This window comes from Homo sapiens, chromosome 15, assembly GCF_000001405.40.
Source record: "Homo sapiens chromosome 15, GRCh38.p14 Primary Assembly".
In the NCBI taxonomy this organism is placed as follows: Eukaryota; Metazoa; Chordata; class Mammalia; order Primates; family Hominidae; genus Homo; species Homo sapiens.
In genome coordinates, this window is record NC_000015.10 from 59,088,122 (window position 1) to 59,104,475 (window position 16,354).

The following is a 16,354-nucleotide window of genomic DNA, read 5'->3' on the forward strand; positions in this document are numbered from 1 at the left end:
AGACAGAAAACCATTAGAGAGGAATTGTTTGAAGATATTGAAGAGAGAGAGGCTTGGTGGGAAGTAGTGAAGTAAGCATGACCCAGGGTGAACAGGTGAAGGGAGGAGTGGGTGATAAGGATTGAGTTCGAATAGGAGAAAAGCTCATCCATAAAGGCTGGAGGAAAGAGACTAGGGAGGAGAGGCTTTTCAGGGTAAGTGAAGATTTAGATAATTTGGGATGCAGGAGTTCCTTTCCGATTTCTTTGAAGATGTTTAGGAGGTTGGGTTATCTGCTGAGTAGTAATGATCTTGGTTATAAGAAAAGTTGTAAACAATTTAAGTAATAGGCTATTGAAGGTTAAAAGTTATTGCTTATTTAAATTCTTTTCCACATATGAAGTGTCCGTTAAAGCTATAAATTCTGCTTAAAGTATGTTGTGATTCAGTGTAGGCTAATTAAAAAGTAATGTCAGAGATTTATTTATAAAGATGGAAGAATGGTGCTGTATCTCAGAAATGCCCTTTCCTAATACTCTCACTATGCATGGCAGTTATGATCTATACAGTTGCTGCAAACACTGAATTAGCAAATATGGGACCCTTGCAAACCTCTGTTCACAACTAATCAGTGTATAACCTTTTTTATGTGTGTTTCTGCTTAAAGACAACTTTAAAAAATATTGTAGAATCATTAACATTGAACTCATAGCCAACAACACTGTAACTCATGCGTGAATGAAACTTATTCTCTCCATAAGGTGTATGACAGCCTTCTTTGCTTAGGAACACTAGACAGCACTTCAGCTCTATGCTTGGGTGCCATTTTAAACAACACAATCACCAACAAAAAGCACAAAACTGTGAAAAACGTGGCACTAAACAGTCTGCAAACAAGACACTGGTTTATAGTAGGAGCTCAAATACGGCAGAGCCCTGTTCTACCTCAGCTGGGAACAGAGTTGCATGTTGGGCAACTGCAATTTTTTGCCACCGGTCATATCCACGAATGACTCTGAAAGCACAAGTGTTGATTATGGGGTTACAAGTAAATTTTAGCCTGTGGGTCAGTTCACACATATGTAATCCATAAATAATGAAGATTGACTGTAACTAACAAAAAATTAGAAAACAGTGTTAAAAGTTTCCCTAATAGAATCAAGCAAAAAAGGCATAGGGTACTTTGGCTGTTAGGAAGCTTAACAGAAGTGAAGTAAAAAACTTATCTTGAAGTCGAATTTTGTTGGAAAATTGTGTGCATTTTTTGTTGTTGTTTTAATAAAGCTCTCTGAAATGGACAGGATCTTAAGACAATTTTACTCTTTTCAAGTTTGAGCTACTAAGAGCCTCAGGCTTAAGTTTGGGCATTTTGGAGAGTTAGGTTATATTTTAACAGAAACCTAAACCTGTTACAGAATGCTTAGTTGGAGTTATGTATTCTTATTGAAGTCAAATTTTATGAGCAGTTGAATTGAAAACATTGAGGGTCTTGAATTATTCAATGTTAACAGTAAATCACAAGTCTATTCTTAAAATTGATTTAGCCTATCTCTTCTGTTGAAATAGGTTCCTGATATGGCAGGCTATCCTCACATCCGTTACATTTCATCAGGATTGGATGGAACATCATTCAGAGGTCCTTTCAGGGGCAATTTTGAGGTATGTAATAAAATAAATGAATATGTTTGTCACAGTATCTTTAATGCAGATTGAGTATATATATACTACTATACACAATTGTGTAGGACTGCTACAGTGGCTGGGAATCACATGTGATTTTCTGATGTTGCTTCTGGGAGTTACAGAAATATTTGTAAGTATTATTAATCTTAGGGTCAAAAGTTACCGAAATATTTAAAGATGAGTAAATGAAAATATCTAATATAGAAGAATATAAAAATGTATTAAATCAATATAAATGTCAGATATATAACTATACCATTAAATGTGGTGGGGAACGGAATGTTTTTGACTCAGCTAAATTTTTAGAGAAATCGGTAGAGAAAAAGAAACTTAAGTAATTCCCTTTGTAGCTAAATGTCTTGTTTGAATTTTCAGGAAGAACAAATCATTCGAATGGGATTTAAAGTTTTGTTGTGGTTTGTTTTTTTGTTTGTTTGTTTGTTTGTTTGTTGTTGTTGTTTTTTTAGATGGAGTCTTGCTCTGTCACCCAGACTGGAGTGCAGTTGCACAATCTCAGCTCACTGCAACCTGCGCCTCCTGGGTTCAAGCAATTCTCCTGCCTCGGCTTCCTGAGTAGCTGGGATTACAGGTGCCCGCCACCACGCCCGGCTAATTTTTGTATTTTTAGTAGAGATAGTGTTTTGCCATGTTGGCCAGGCTGCTCTTGAACTCCTGACCTCAAGTGATCCACCCACCTTGGCCTCCCAAAGTACTGGGATTACAGGCGCAAGCCACCGCACCCGGCCCCCGTTGTGTTTTTTTTATGTCAGTTTGGAAGTTGGAGTCATTGTGACTTAGAACTATTGTTTGATTTGGTTCCTTAATTTACTAGAATTATTTCATCTTCTCCATACATACATACATACTGACTTACATAGTACCATGTGATAATATTGTTGTAATTTATAAAGATAACTTTTGCTGTACCATTTCAGTTGGCTGAGGAAAACATGATAAACAACCATTTGCCTTACTGTCTATGAGAAACATTAAGTCAGGCATGGTGGCTCACACCTGTAATCTCAGCAGTTTAGGAGGCCGAGGTGGGAGGATCACTTGAGGCCAGGAGTTTGAGACCAGCCTGGGCAACATATAAACTGTTTTATATATATACTTATATATAAGTAACCACTTGTCATGTGTAAGTTTTTTTGAACACTGTATTTATATTGCAAGTTTCTAAGTATGGAGGTTTATTTCTTATACAATGTTGACAGTTCTGTTCAAGGAATAATCATCTTGGCTTTTACCAGTCATTATATTCTTCACTTTCAGGAACTGATTCATTTGGAAGAAAGATTAGGCAATGTCAATCGTGGAGCATCCCAGGGGACAATTGAAAGATGTACATATCCACATAAATACAAAAAGGTAAGAATTTATTCTATGAAACTTCTGGAGTGTTACTGAAAGGCATAAATGTAATATATACCTTTTTTGAATTTGTAGACTCTAGCAATGACATTTTTATTGAAGTAATGCATACATATTGTTTAAAAATTTTGGAAAGTATAAAAAATATATACTTTGCAGTTTTTTACTCTGCAGACCCTAGTCCTTCTTCCCAGAAGTGAAATCATAGTTAAGGATTTAGATATTCTTCTAGATATTTTTTAGCATTTTCTAATAATGTGCATATGTATATATATTTTTGTCTACTTTAAAAAAAACACAAAAGGAGATGATTACCACATAGTTTGCAGATTGCCTTTCATGCCAATTAGCTCCCACAGATCACCCTTATTATTTTTAATAGCTTATGCAGAATTCCATCATATGGCAGTACTGTAATTTTTTTAACTAGCAATTTATTTTGACGGACATTTTATTGATGTATGTTTCTTCTACTCTACCCTCAGTTGCTTGTATAGCATTATACAGTTATGGGGTAGACATGTTAAATACGTGTCTTAAACCATGCTCAATACCAACGGTCCCCAACCTTTTTGACACCAGGGACCAGTTTTCATGGAAGACAATTTTTCATGGATAGGTGGCAGAGGGGATAGTTTCAGAATGAAACTATTCCACCTCAGATTATCAGGCATTAGTTAGATTCTCTTAAGGAGCATGCAACCTAGATCCCTCACATGCACAGTTTACAATAGGGTTCACGCTTCTATGAGAATCTATCGCTGCTGCTGATCTGACAGGAGGAAGAGCTCCAGCAGTGATGCTCGCTCACCTGCCACTCACCTCCTGCTGTGCAGCCAGGTACTGGTTTGCAGCCCAGGGGTTGGAGACTCCTTTATACTATGTAAAGAATAATCATAAAGTGTGAAAATTACTATTCTCTGTATTTTTCATCTATTTTCAAAGAGTATTGAGGTATTACCAGTACATTCAAGTTTTCAACTGTCCAAGTTAAATACTGTAACTAATGTTAATTTAAATGGATGTTACTTGAAACATTCACTAATAAAAAAAACTTATTTATGCTCATGGTAGGATAAAAATAGTTTATATTGTTTATCATTCTCATTGTGGATTAAAAGTAATAGCTTTTAAGTGAATGAATTTCTGTTAAATTTGATTTTGCTTTTGATCCCAATTATTAGAGGGTCTTAAAAATATACTTAATTGATGATAGTCACTTAATTCATCCATTTATTTATGACAGTCTTACCTGGGAAAAAAGTGCGGGTGAATATGTGGTTTTGTTTTGTTTTGTTTTTCAAATAAACACAGACTTTACTCAGTTGTTCAATAATGTCATCTCTACTAATAAGGTAACAACTGATTGGTTCTCACAGAGGAAACTGCACTGCAAACAAGATGGGGAAGAAGGGACTGAGGAAGACACAGAGGAAAAATGTACTATCTGTTTGTCTATTTTAGAGGAAGGTGAAGATGTGAGGTAACTAGATATTAATTATCTAAAATCCATTGTCAAAACTGTACATGGGATTTTATTTGAAAAGTAAATTACACCGGGCATGATGGCTCACACGTGTAATTCCAGCACTTTTTGAGGCCAAGGCCAGAGGCTCTCTTGAGGCCAGGAGTTTGAGGCCAACCTGGGCAACATAACAAGACTCTGTTTCTACAAAAAAGAAAAATAGTACAATTATTTGCATGTGATGGTGTGCACCTGCAGTGCCAGCTACTCAGGAGACTAAGGCAGGAGGATGGCTCAAGCCCAGGAGTTTGAGACTGCAGTGAGCTTTGAGCACACCACACTGCACTCCAGCCTGGGCAATAGAGTGAGACCCTGTCTCTGAAAAAAAAGAGTAAAAGTAAACTGGAAACCAAATAAAGATTACTTTTGGCATATACTGTTACCAATTTCTGGCACGTAGAACTGGCTTCATCTGGCGAGTGAAACAATAAAAGATTAAAGTATCTATGTTACCAACATGGGAGTGGGAAATATACTGCCTATTGTAGGGCCACACAAGGTTTGGCCAGGGAAATTTCGTAGTCAAAATTGTCTTCTGTAAATCTTGCAGAAATGAGAATTTGAGAGGCTTTGGAGGTCCTAGAAAGTTATAATGTGTTCTTCAAAACTTAAACAGGGATCCAGATTAGTCCTATGCAGTCTGTTTTACAGCATCTTTTTTTTTTTTTTTTTTTTTTTTCCTTTTCTGGGAGATGGTCTCCTTCTGTTGCCCAGGCTCAGGGCAGCAGTCTCAGCTCACTGCAACCTCCACCTCCTGGGCTGAAGCGATCCACCTACCTCAGCCTCCCAAAATGCTGGGATTACAGGCGTAAGCCACTGCACTCGGCTATAGCATCTTTTATAAACTGGTTTTGTCATAAAATTTCCTCTAAACTAGTAGGACTATTCCCTTCTTGCACCTTTGTTGTTTAGAAAATGTTAATATGTTAACCCTATATTAATTTTAGGCATTTTCTTTGTATAATCACTTAAGTAATTGTTTTCTTCCTGTTCTTTTTTTTAATGTTAACATAATGCCATATGAAACAGGTTCTATATCATATATAACAGAACCTTGTAGTAATATTATTGCCCTAATTTATAAGGATAACTTTGTCGTACCTCTTCAGTTGGCTGAGAAAAAAATTGTCTACCATACGACAAATAAGGTTTTTTGCACACTGTATTTCTAATGAAGGTTTATAAATTTGGAACTTAATTGCTTTTACAGTATTGACAATACTGTTCAAGGAATAATTGGGATACTTTTTAAGGCTATTATTTTAACAAGATATTAGGAAGTCTGAAAAGTGTATAAAAACTCTTAACAGTTGCTAGAAGTAGAAATGGACACGAGTCAGTAACTTTTATTCCACTGTTAACACTCAGATTTAATGTTACCCTATCTTGCTTGGGGGCTTTATTTCTCAATTTCTAATTGGTAATTTGGCATGATGTAAACAAACAAATCATTACATCTCCTTTTAACTTACCTGTTAAACAGTAGCACAATATTAAGTGTATATAACAATTATTCCGTGAAAAAAGTATTACTCACCTTTAATCAGTTATGTACTTAAGTTTAATGTGTAAAGATATTCTTGATAGAAAATAACATTGCACAATAAGACATTTTTTAGTGAGGAAAGTGTAGTTACTATATATTTGCCACATGAATTGTAATGTTTTTGAGAGAGAATTAAATGATGTAATAAATATATATTTGAGATAATATGTATTTTTAAAGGGCATTACAAATACAGTGATGATTTGATTTTTAAAAATATATTTGCAATATTATGTGACAGGTAACATACTGCTAACTCCAGGGCATTGGCAGCTCCTGTACCAAAACAAAACTGGAATAATTGGCAGTGTAATTTGTGTTCTTACAGTTTTTAAGATTTTATATAATTTGGTCCTGTAGCTTTGAAAGTTAATTATCTTGATCATTTATATATTATATTGCCCAGAGTGCTAATTTAATCGATGTGTTTTTTATAGAAGAGGAAGATGCTTAGTACCTTCAAAACATTATTGAATTATTACATATATAATTTGTTAACTACGTACAATTATCATAAAATTAATTTTTGCTTTTTGTTTTCTTGCCAATAATAGACGTCTTCCATGTATGCACCTTTTCCACCAAGTGTGTGTTGACCAATGGTTGATTACCAATAAGAAGTGCCCCATATGCAGAGTGGACATTGAGGCCCAGCTGCCAAGTGAAAGTTGACACCATGTTTCAGAACTCTTGCCCTCCCTCTCATTCCCATCCTTCCTGGTACTGCAGTCAACCAAAGATGGCATGACTTACCTGCGCAGATTTGGAAGCATTGAACTTAGAGTGCTGGCTCTGCTATATGGTACAACTAATGCTAGACCTACAGTTTATGTATACAGTTGATTTTGATGTATTTATAAAAGCTTTTTTTTCTAGATTTGACATTTTTCTGTATCATTTTACTGTATTTTTGCATGGTTCCTTGTATTGCATTTCTTTGCACATATTATGGGCTTGTGACCCTAAACTTGCAGGCAAGGTTAGCTGCTTTAGTAAGTAGAATTTTGTGGTCTTTTTGTTTTTTACATAGTACCAAGCCTTGATAATTATGAATTTTTTATCCATTACTAACCTTTAATTTAATCAATCATGTACTTTAGTTTAATGTATAAAGATCCTCTAGAAAATGATAATATTGTGTATTAAGACATTCCTTAATTAGGACAAAATGGCTGCTGTATATTTACTATATGGAGTTCTGAGTTAAATACCATCCTTAATACTGGGAACAGAATACAACCCATATAAATCAGATGCAGGTGGTAGTCACATCACCAGAGTGATCAGTATAAATTTTCTTGGTGTATCCTTTTCCTTTCAACACAGTGCAGATAAGAGTTGAATATTGATATCATACATTTAGACTGCTGTTCTGATTGCATTTATCTTTTTCCTACATCATTTAGAATTTTATTTCCCTGATTCAGTTTTTGCTGCTGTGAAACAGCTCTGATGAACACTAAATATTAATTTCAATTAGCTAGATTGTACATACTTGCAGATTTAACAAAATTTTAGGGAAATTGAAAAAGACATGTAGAATTTGTTGTCTTCTGCTAAGCACGAAAAGTTAAGATATCTGCTTACATTGATTTTGTAGACACATTAAGTCAAGATTTGGAATTTAAGTCACTGGCAGGTATCTGTGCATTCATAGAACTTATAAAGGTCCCAGGATCACTTTTAAGGGATTTTTATTAGTTTAAAGGTAAATAAAGTCAGCTGAATCTACATGTCTCTTGTTTTATTTCTCTCTAAACTTGAAAACAGTAAATCTGCAGATACTGTGAGGCACAAATTATACTGTCAACCTACTGTTGCTATGGTTATATACTCCCACTTCATACATTACCAAGAGTCGATCACTGATTTAAAATTTTTAATTTCTATAGTTAAGATTTACTGCATAATATAGAATATAAAGTTAAGTTAACATACTAACATTTCTCCTTTGGAGGAAGTTTTAATCTACTTCAGGATGCATATTATTATCAAGATACTTTCATATACAGGATAGCCTAATTTTATTTGTTTAAATATGCTTAATATGCCCCAGATTGCAAATGCATCCAGTCAGTAATATCACTGTCTGTATGTGGAGGACATGTTCCCATGGATCATATGTGAAGATGTCAATAAGCTTGCATTAAGCCACCTGCTTTGTAAGTGGATTGATTAATAAATAACTTATATTTCTATTGTCTTTGTGTTTCATAATTAGTTTTTATAAAAACAGTTTACATTAAACATCTTGGAATTCAACAATAGTGATCTCACTCAAATTGACATTTGCATAATTTGACATTTATATTCATTCAGTTATGACTACTTGCCCTTTTCTTCATATTAGTAAATGTTACACTGTAGTAGTTGTCAATGTTAACAGGCTTCAACATAGTATGTGTGCAGATGGACGATGGATTTAAAGAGCATACCTTATGATTAAACCGAGGTTATAGAAGGTCAGGGGAGAGTGAAGGAGTCAGTGACCTATGTCTGCCATCTTACTGGGGAAAAGAGCAAGTAGCCTGTCTTCCTTTAAGTAAGTAGCCTGTAATGGATGTACTACTTTGCCACTGGAATACCCCGGGTCTGTGCCAAGGGACTGAAGAAGTGTAAGATGGGGAGAACTGTATGTCATGGAGTCCTCTTGACGTTCCCCCAGATACAAGTAAAGCACAGGTGGATTTCTCTATTTTTGAATACTACATCAGATTTAGATGCACGACTACCTGTTGACTTGTTTTATAATTGCTACTGATTTTTTTAATGTAGGCAAAGCTTTGTTACTTTGAAATTTATTTAATAAAAGTATTTGTGACATAAACCTGAATTGTTAATATAGGAGCTTATTAAGCTACTGCCATTAGTTATCGAAAAATGTGATAAGTAATGAAGAAAGTAAGGAAGAAAATGACTTTGAACATTTTGACTTTTTGTGCTTTGTTTTGGTGTCTTCCATATCCTGCTGCATCTTATATGTCAAAATGAACATTTCAGTGGTAGCTGTCCAAATACATAAAAACTAAAATTCTTTTGTTAGCAAGTCCTTATTTTTATTGTTGTTAACATGCAAGTGATAAACTGATAATTTGAAACATTTTTCTTACTCTGGTGACTTTCTTTTAGCTGCTAGCACACTTCAGCATTTGAACCATAACAGTTGTGATAAACTGATCGTTTGAAACGTTTTTCTTACTCTGGTGACTTTCTTTTAGCTGCTAGCACACTTCAGCATTTGAACCATAACAGTTGTGATAAACTGATCATTTGAAACGTTTTTCTTACTCTGGTGACTTTATTTTAGCTGCTAGCACACTTCAGCATTTGAACCATAACAGTTGACTTAGAGAAAACTACTTTTGTTTTAAAAACTGTTACTTGTTCACGCCTGTAATCCCAGCACTTTGGGAGGCTGAGGTGGGCAGATCATGAGGTCAGGAGATCGAGACCATCCTCGTTAACATGGTGAAACCCCATCTCTACTAAAAATACAAAAAATTAGCTGGTCATGGGTAGCGGGTGCCTGTAGTCCCAGCTACTCAGGAGGCTGATGCAGGAGAATGGCGTGAACCTGGGAGGCGGAGCTTTCAGTGAGCTGAGATAGCGCCACTGCACTCCAGCCTGGGTGACAGAGCCAGACTCCCTCTCAAAAAAAAACCACAACTGTTATTTGTAACTAGATGAAACACTAAAATATAAGCTCTTGAGGATATTTTGTTATTAGTGTTTCATAAATGGGAATAGTTTAAATCTGTAGAAAATACATCCTAGTTTCTAACTTCCAAAACCTCTGGGAACACAGTATATGTGTGTCAGACACACACACACACACATACTGTGTTGTTGTTATATATATATGTATATTTGTTGTTGTTGTTGTTGTTTTTGAGACAAAGTCTCCATCTTTTGCCTAGGCTGGAGTGCAGTGGTACGATCTCAGGTCACTGAAACCTCTACATCCTGAGTTCAAGTGATTCTCGTGCCTCAGCCTCCAGAGTAGTTGGGATCACAGGCGCGTGCCACCACATCACTGTGGCCGGCCAGTATATATATGTATATTTTTTGAAAACTTCACATGTCACAATATTTAATATGTCATTTTTTCTCAGTCATAGATATTTTCTTAAGAAGTATATACAATGTTGGGCGTGGTGGCTCACACCTGTAATCGCAGCACTTTGGGAGGCTGAGGCAGGTGGATCACCTGAGGTCAGGAGTTTGAGCCCAGCCTGTCCAAACCCCATCTCTACTAAAAAAATTTACCAAAATTAGCTGGATGTTGTGCATGCCTATAGTCCCAGCTACTTGGGAAGTTGAGGCAGGAGAATCGCTTGAACCTGGGAGGCAGAGGTTGCAGTGAACTGAGATTGCGCCACTGCACTCAGTTTTGGTGACAGAGCAAGACTCCGTCTCTTTAAAAAAAAAAAAAAGCCCAGTCTCTCCCCAAAGCTTTATCTGTTGTTATACAATAGTTTTCACGTTGTAACCCCAAAACTTAGTGGTTTACACATCAAACATCTCAGTTTCTGTGAATCAGGCACTCAGGAACAAACAGCCTCGTTTTGCATTTCTACTTCAGGGTCTCTCATGAGGTTATAATCAAGGTCAAGGTGACTGTTGGGGCTGCAGTCATCTTTTTTTTTTTTTTTTTTTTTTTTTTTTTTTTTGAGACAGAGTCTCGCCCTGTCGGATTGGAGTGCAGTGACACGATCTCGGCTCACTGCACTCTCTGCCTCCCAGGTTCAAGCAATTGTCCTCCCTCAGTCTCCCTAGTAGCTGGGATTACGGGCAAATGCCACCACACCTAGCTAATTTTTGTATTTTTAATAGAGATGGTGTTTCACCATGTTGGCCAGGCTGGTCTGGAACTCCTGATCTCAGATGATCTGCCCACCTCGGCCTCCCAAAGTGCTGGGAGTACAGATGTGAGCCACTGCACCTGGCTGGTCTTTTTTTTTTTTTTTTTTTTTAACCTTTTAAAAATCTACCCTTCTGCACACTGTTGGTCTACAAGTCATCTGAGGGCATCACTGGGTCTGGACAATCCATTTCTAAGATTGCTCAGTCCCCAGGCTGTTGACAGGCAGTCTCAGCTCCTCACTGGCTACTGAGAGAGTTCACTTCTTTGCTACAGGAGCCTCTCCAGAGAGCTGCTAGAATGTCTTTACAACAGGGTAACTTGTTTTACCCAGAACTACTGATCCCAGAGAAAGCCAGGAGGAAGCCACATGCCACTTTTTGATCTAGTCTCAGAAGTTACACTTTGTCCTTTCTGCCACATTCTATTTCTTAGAAATGAGGGTAACTAAGGGCAGGCTATACTCGAGGTGGTGAACTAGGTTCCACCATTTGAAGAAAGGTGTAGCCAAGGATTTGTGTACAAATTGTGAAAACACTCTTATCCCGTATATCAAGACCCAGCTTCAAACATGTAAACTTCTGTGGGCAAAAATTCTTTTTTTTTTTTTTTGAGTGCAGGGGTGCAATCTCAGCTCACTGCAACCTCTGTCTCCCGGGTTCAAGCGATTCTCCTGTCTCAGCCTCCCGAGTAGCTGGGATTACTCGTGCCTGCCACCACACCCAGCTAATTTTTTGTAGTTTTTAGTAAAGACGGGGTTTCACCATGTTGGCCAGGCTGGTCTCAAACTCCTGAACTCAAGTGATGGTGGTAAACATTCTATCAGACTGGCCTCAGTGCTTCCTAAGGCTTTGAATTACATCTGATCCATAGTTCAGCACCAGATGATTTCTTTTACCTGCAGGAGATAACCAAATGCCAAAATATCTCTTTGAAATGACGAAGGCAACTCAAATTTCCCATATGAAAAATCTACCAGGATAACATCATTGAGAATTCAGTTTACAAATGATCAGAAATCACAGATACTGTGCTATGTTTTCTTAAACTGTGATCCCCCTGTGAAACCAAGATGATAAGACTATTCCAGCAAACGAAAAGCTTATTTGGTGCAACGACTTGGAATGCCCCCAGGTAAGTGTATTTGTTACCTGTTTTGTAACAAACCACCCCCAAATTGAGTGGTTTATAAAACACATTTATTTGCTCACAGTTGCGTGATTTGGGCGGTGCTGGGCAGGCATAGCTCATCTTTCACTGTGGTATGACGTTTCCTCATGTGGCTACATTCAGCTGCAAGTTCTACTGAGACAGTGTCCACGTGGCCTCACCTTGCATATCTGACGCGTTAGCTGGGATGGTTAGGACAGGTGATAATGCGCTGGGCATTTCTCTCAATGTCATCTCTAGAAAGGAATAGCTTGGGTCTCTATGGTGGTGACGCAGGACTCCAAGGGAGAAATAAACTGCTTCCTAAGACCCAATCCTGTTACTGGAACAGCATCTCTTCTTTCACATTCTGTTGGTTAAAGTAAATAACAAGGCTAGCCCAAATTTAAGGAGAGAGAAAATAGATTACACCTGTTCACAGAAGGCACTGCAAAAAAAAAAAAAAAAAAAAAAAGGGGGGCACTCTTTCATCCACCACAGTGAGGTAAAACAAGCCCCATTGTTTTGTTAGAATACCTAGCACAAGCTTTCTGAACGCATTTACTTCTCCCCCCAAACCAAAGCTTTGCATATAGAGAAGCGCATGTGCAAAATGATTTATATTCTCAGAGGAATCAGCAGTGAAAGAACTTTCCGTTTCCCAGTGTGATTGATTTATTATTATTATTATTTTTTTGAGACAGAGTCTCACTCTGTCACCCAGGCTGAAGTGCAGTGGCGTGATCTTGGCTCACTGCAACGTCCGCCACTCAGCCTCCCAAGTAGCTGGGACTACGGGCACACGCCACCATGCCTGGCTAATTTTTTTTTTTTTTTTTTTGTATTTTTAGTAGAGAAGGGGTTTCACTGTGTTAGCCAGGATGGTCTCCATCTCCTGACCTGGTGATCCACCCGCCTTGGCCTCCCAAGGTGCTGGGATTACAGGCATGAGCCACCATGCCAGGCCTCCTAGGGTGATATTTGAAAAAAAGAAATTTATGGATGGGCTGGGCATGGTGGTTCATTCCAGCACTTTGGGAGGCTGAGGCAGGAGGATCACTTGAGCCCAGGAGTTCGGGATCAGCCTAGGCAACATAGTGAGACCCCCATCTGTACAAACCATTTAAAAATCAGCCAGCCGAGTAGTCCCAGCTACTCGGGTGGCTGAGGTAGGAGGATCACTTGAGCCCGGGGGATTGAGGCTGCAGTGAGCTGTGATCACACTGCTGCATTCCAGCCTGGGTGACAGAGGGAGACCCTGTCTCAAAACAAGAAGTTTGTGTGTAAGGTTTTAGGTTAGTTACAGTGAGAAGTACAAAATAAGAAATATTATCTTCATTTTTAACACCTGTAATCTCAGCACTTTGGGAGGCCAAAGCCGGAGGATCTCTTGAGCTCAGGAGTTTGAGACCAACCTGGCAACATAGCAAGACCTCCTCTCTACAAATAAAAAAATTAGCTCGGTGAGGTGGCTCACTCCTGTGGTCCTAGATCCTCAGGAGGCTGAGGTGGGAGAATCACTTGAACCTGGCTGGTCAAGGCTTCAGTGAGCCATGATTGCACCATTGCACTCCAGCCTGGGCAACAGAGCAAGACGCCTTCTCAAAAAATAAAAAATAAAATAAAACGTGTTAATACAGATTCAATTACTCAATTTTGACAATGTCAAGTCGGTTAATAAAAGCACTATGCCCAGCCTAGGCAACACAGTGAGACCCTGTCTCTACAAAAATTTTTAAAAATTAGCTGGGAGTGGTGGCATATACTTGTAGTCCCAGCTACTCATGAGGCTGAGGCAGGAGAATGGTGTGAGACCAGGAGTTCGAGGCTGCAGTAAGCCGTGACTGCACCACTGCACTCCAGCCTGAGCAACAGAGCAAGACCCCGACAAAAATAAATAAATAAGAAAGCACCTTTACCGTTCATAAAAAAGCCCTATGAGTAAGCAAGCATTGTCACTTTTATGGTTGTATCTTTTGATAACATATCAACATAAAGCAAAAATATTTTACAACTTCAGTGCACTAAAACATCTATTTTTCTTTTCCAAGACTTTTCCATAGGATACCTAGTTTTTAGTTATGGGATGATTATGGATAGGCTAACATCTTTTCACATAGTAGCTGCAATTATTCCTGTTTCACCTAAGAGGAAACAAGTTCAGAACTGTCAGATGCCCTCCAACCAATAGGGATTGAGGCAATTTAGGAATTTAACTTTACATAAGTCTCGTCCAACCACACTGATTATTCGTCCCCAAGTAACAGAACCATTTAAGAATGATGGGAAAGCTCGGTCAAATTTTTATTTATTTATTTTTGAGACAGAGTCTCACTCTGTTGCCCAGGCTGGAATGCAGTGGTGCGAACTCGGCTCACTGCAACCTCTGTCTTCCAGGTTCAAGCGATTCTCCTGCCTCAGCCTACCGAGTAGCTGGGATTAGAGGCCTGCACCACCACGCCCAGCTAATTTTTGTATTTTTAATAGAGACTGGTTTTTACCATGTTGGCTAGGCTGATCTTGAACTCCTGACCTCAAGTGATCCACCTGCCTCAGCATCCCAAAGTGCTGGGATTACAGGTGTGAGCCACCATGCCAGGCCTTCAGATTCTTAATGGAACCTGATATCATGGGTGTTAGATCACTCCTTTCCTCTTTTCCTTCTCTTTTCCCATTAATCTCACTTTTTCCTTTCCTGTTTCTTTTTCTGTCTTGATCTTCACCTGCTTCTTTTTACAAGGGCAACATTAATACTGTTCTCTTTGGACTGTGCTAATCCTCCCACTCTTCTGCTCAAGACTGGTGTCACACCTTGTTTTTCATTCTTAAATCTTACATACATCATAAGATCATTTATTAGATGAATATTTTTTAATTAATACACTTAAATTTTATTTCAGTAGCTTTTGGGATATAAGTGGCTTTCTGTGATGTGGGTGAATTATATAGTGGTGAATTCTGAGATTTTAGTGTGCCCATCACCTAGGTAGTGTATATTTTATCTAATATGTAGGTTTCTATCCCTGTCTCCCCTTCCACCCTCCCTCTTCTGAGTCTCTAAATTCCATTATATCACTGTGTTTGCCTTTGTATATTCACAGCTTAGCTCCCACTTACAAGTGAAAACATACGGTTTTTGGTTTTCCACTCCTGAGTTACTTCACTTAGAATAATGGCCTCTAGCTCCATCCAGGTTGCTGCAAAAGACATTATTTTGTTCCTTTTTATTGCTGAGTAGTATTCCATGGTGTATATATACCACATTTTCTGTACCCACTCGGTCGATGGGCACTTAGGTTGGCAATTGTGAATTGTGCTGCTGTAAACATACATGTGCAAGTGTCTTCTTCATATAATGACTTCTTTTCCTTTGGGTAGATACCCAGTAGTGGAATTGCTGGACCAAATGGTAGAACTACTTTTTGTTCTTTAAGGAATCACCATACTTTTTTCCATAGAAGTTGTACATTCCTACCAGCAGTGTTTAAGCATTCCCTTTTCCCCACATCCACGCCTACACTGTTTTTTGACTATTGTTTTTTGAGGTTTTTTTTCTTTTTTAGACAGGGTTTCAATGTGTTGCCCAGGCTGGAGTACTGTGGCACAATCATGGCTCACTGCAGCCTCAGACTCATGGGATCAAGGGATCCTCCTGCCCCAACACACGGCCCCCCGCCCCCCGCCCCCCGCCCCCCTCCCAGTACCTGGGACTACAGGTGCTCACCACTACACCCGGCTAATATTTGTATTTTTGTAGAGACGGGGTTTTGCCATGTTGCCCAGGCTGGTCTTGAACACCTGGGCTCAAATGATCTGCCCAACAGGCCTCCCAAAGTGCTGGGATTACAGGTGTGAGCCACTGCGCCCGGCCTTTTTTTCTGACTTTTTAATGATGGCCATTCTTGCAGGAGTAAGGTGGTATCTCCTTGTGGTATTAACTTGCATTTCTTCGATGATCAGTGATGTTGAGCATTTTTTCATGTATTTGTTGGCCATTTGAATATCTTTTGAGAAATATCTATTCATGTCCTTTGCCCATTTTTTGATGGCATTATTTTCTTTCTTGCTGATTTGAGTTCCTTCTAGATTCTGGACACTAGGCCTTTTTCCGATGCATAGTTTGCAAATATTTTCTCTTAATCTGTGGTTGTCTATTATTTCTTTTGATGTGCAGAAGCTTTTTAGTTTAATTAGGTCCCATTTATGTATTTTTGTTTTTGTTGCATTTGCTTTTGGG

General features: G+C 38.4%; 1 protein-coding gene across 30 annotated transcripts in view; it reads left to right on the forward strand.

Annotated features, from left to right (window-relative positions):
- The window catches only part of RNF111 (ring finger protein 111), a 109,757-nt gene extending 100,459 nt beyond the window's left edge, over window positions 1-9,298 (forward strand). For 17 of the 30 annotated variants that reach the window (XM_047432702.1, XM_047432708.1, XM_047432713.1 and 14 more), the window contains 4 exons: window positions 1,546-1,638; window positions 2,938-3,033; window positions 4,392-4,519; window positions 6,662-9,298. In XM_047432702.1, the coding sequence (XP_047288658.1) occupies window positions 1,546-1,638; window positions 2,938-3,033; window positions 4,392-4,519; window positions 6,662-6,779 (435 nt within the window). In that variant the 3' untranslated portion in view covers window positions 6,780-9,298. The remainder of the gene's footprint in view (window positions 1-1,545; window positions 1,639-2,937; window positions 3,034-4,391; window positions 4,520-6,661) is intronic. The other 13 variants (XM_047432721.1, XM_047432723.1, XM_047432706.1 and 10 more) reach the window with 1 other exon arrangement.
- Window positions 9,299-16,354: the final 7,056 nt, after the last annotated feature.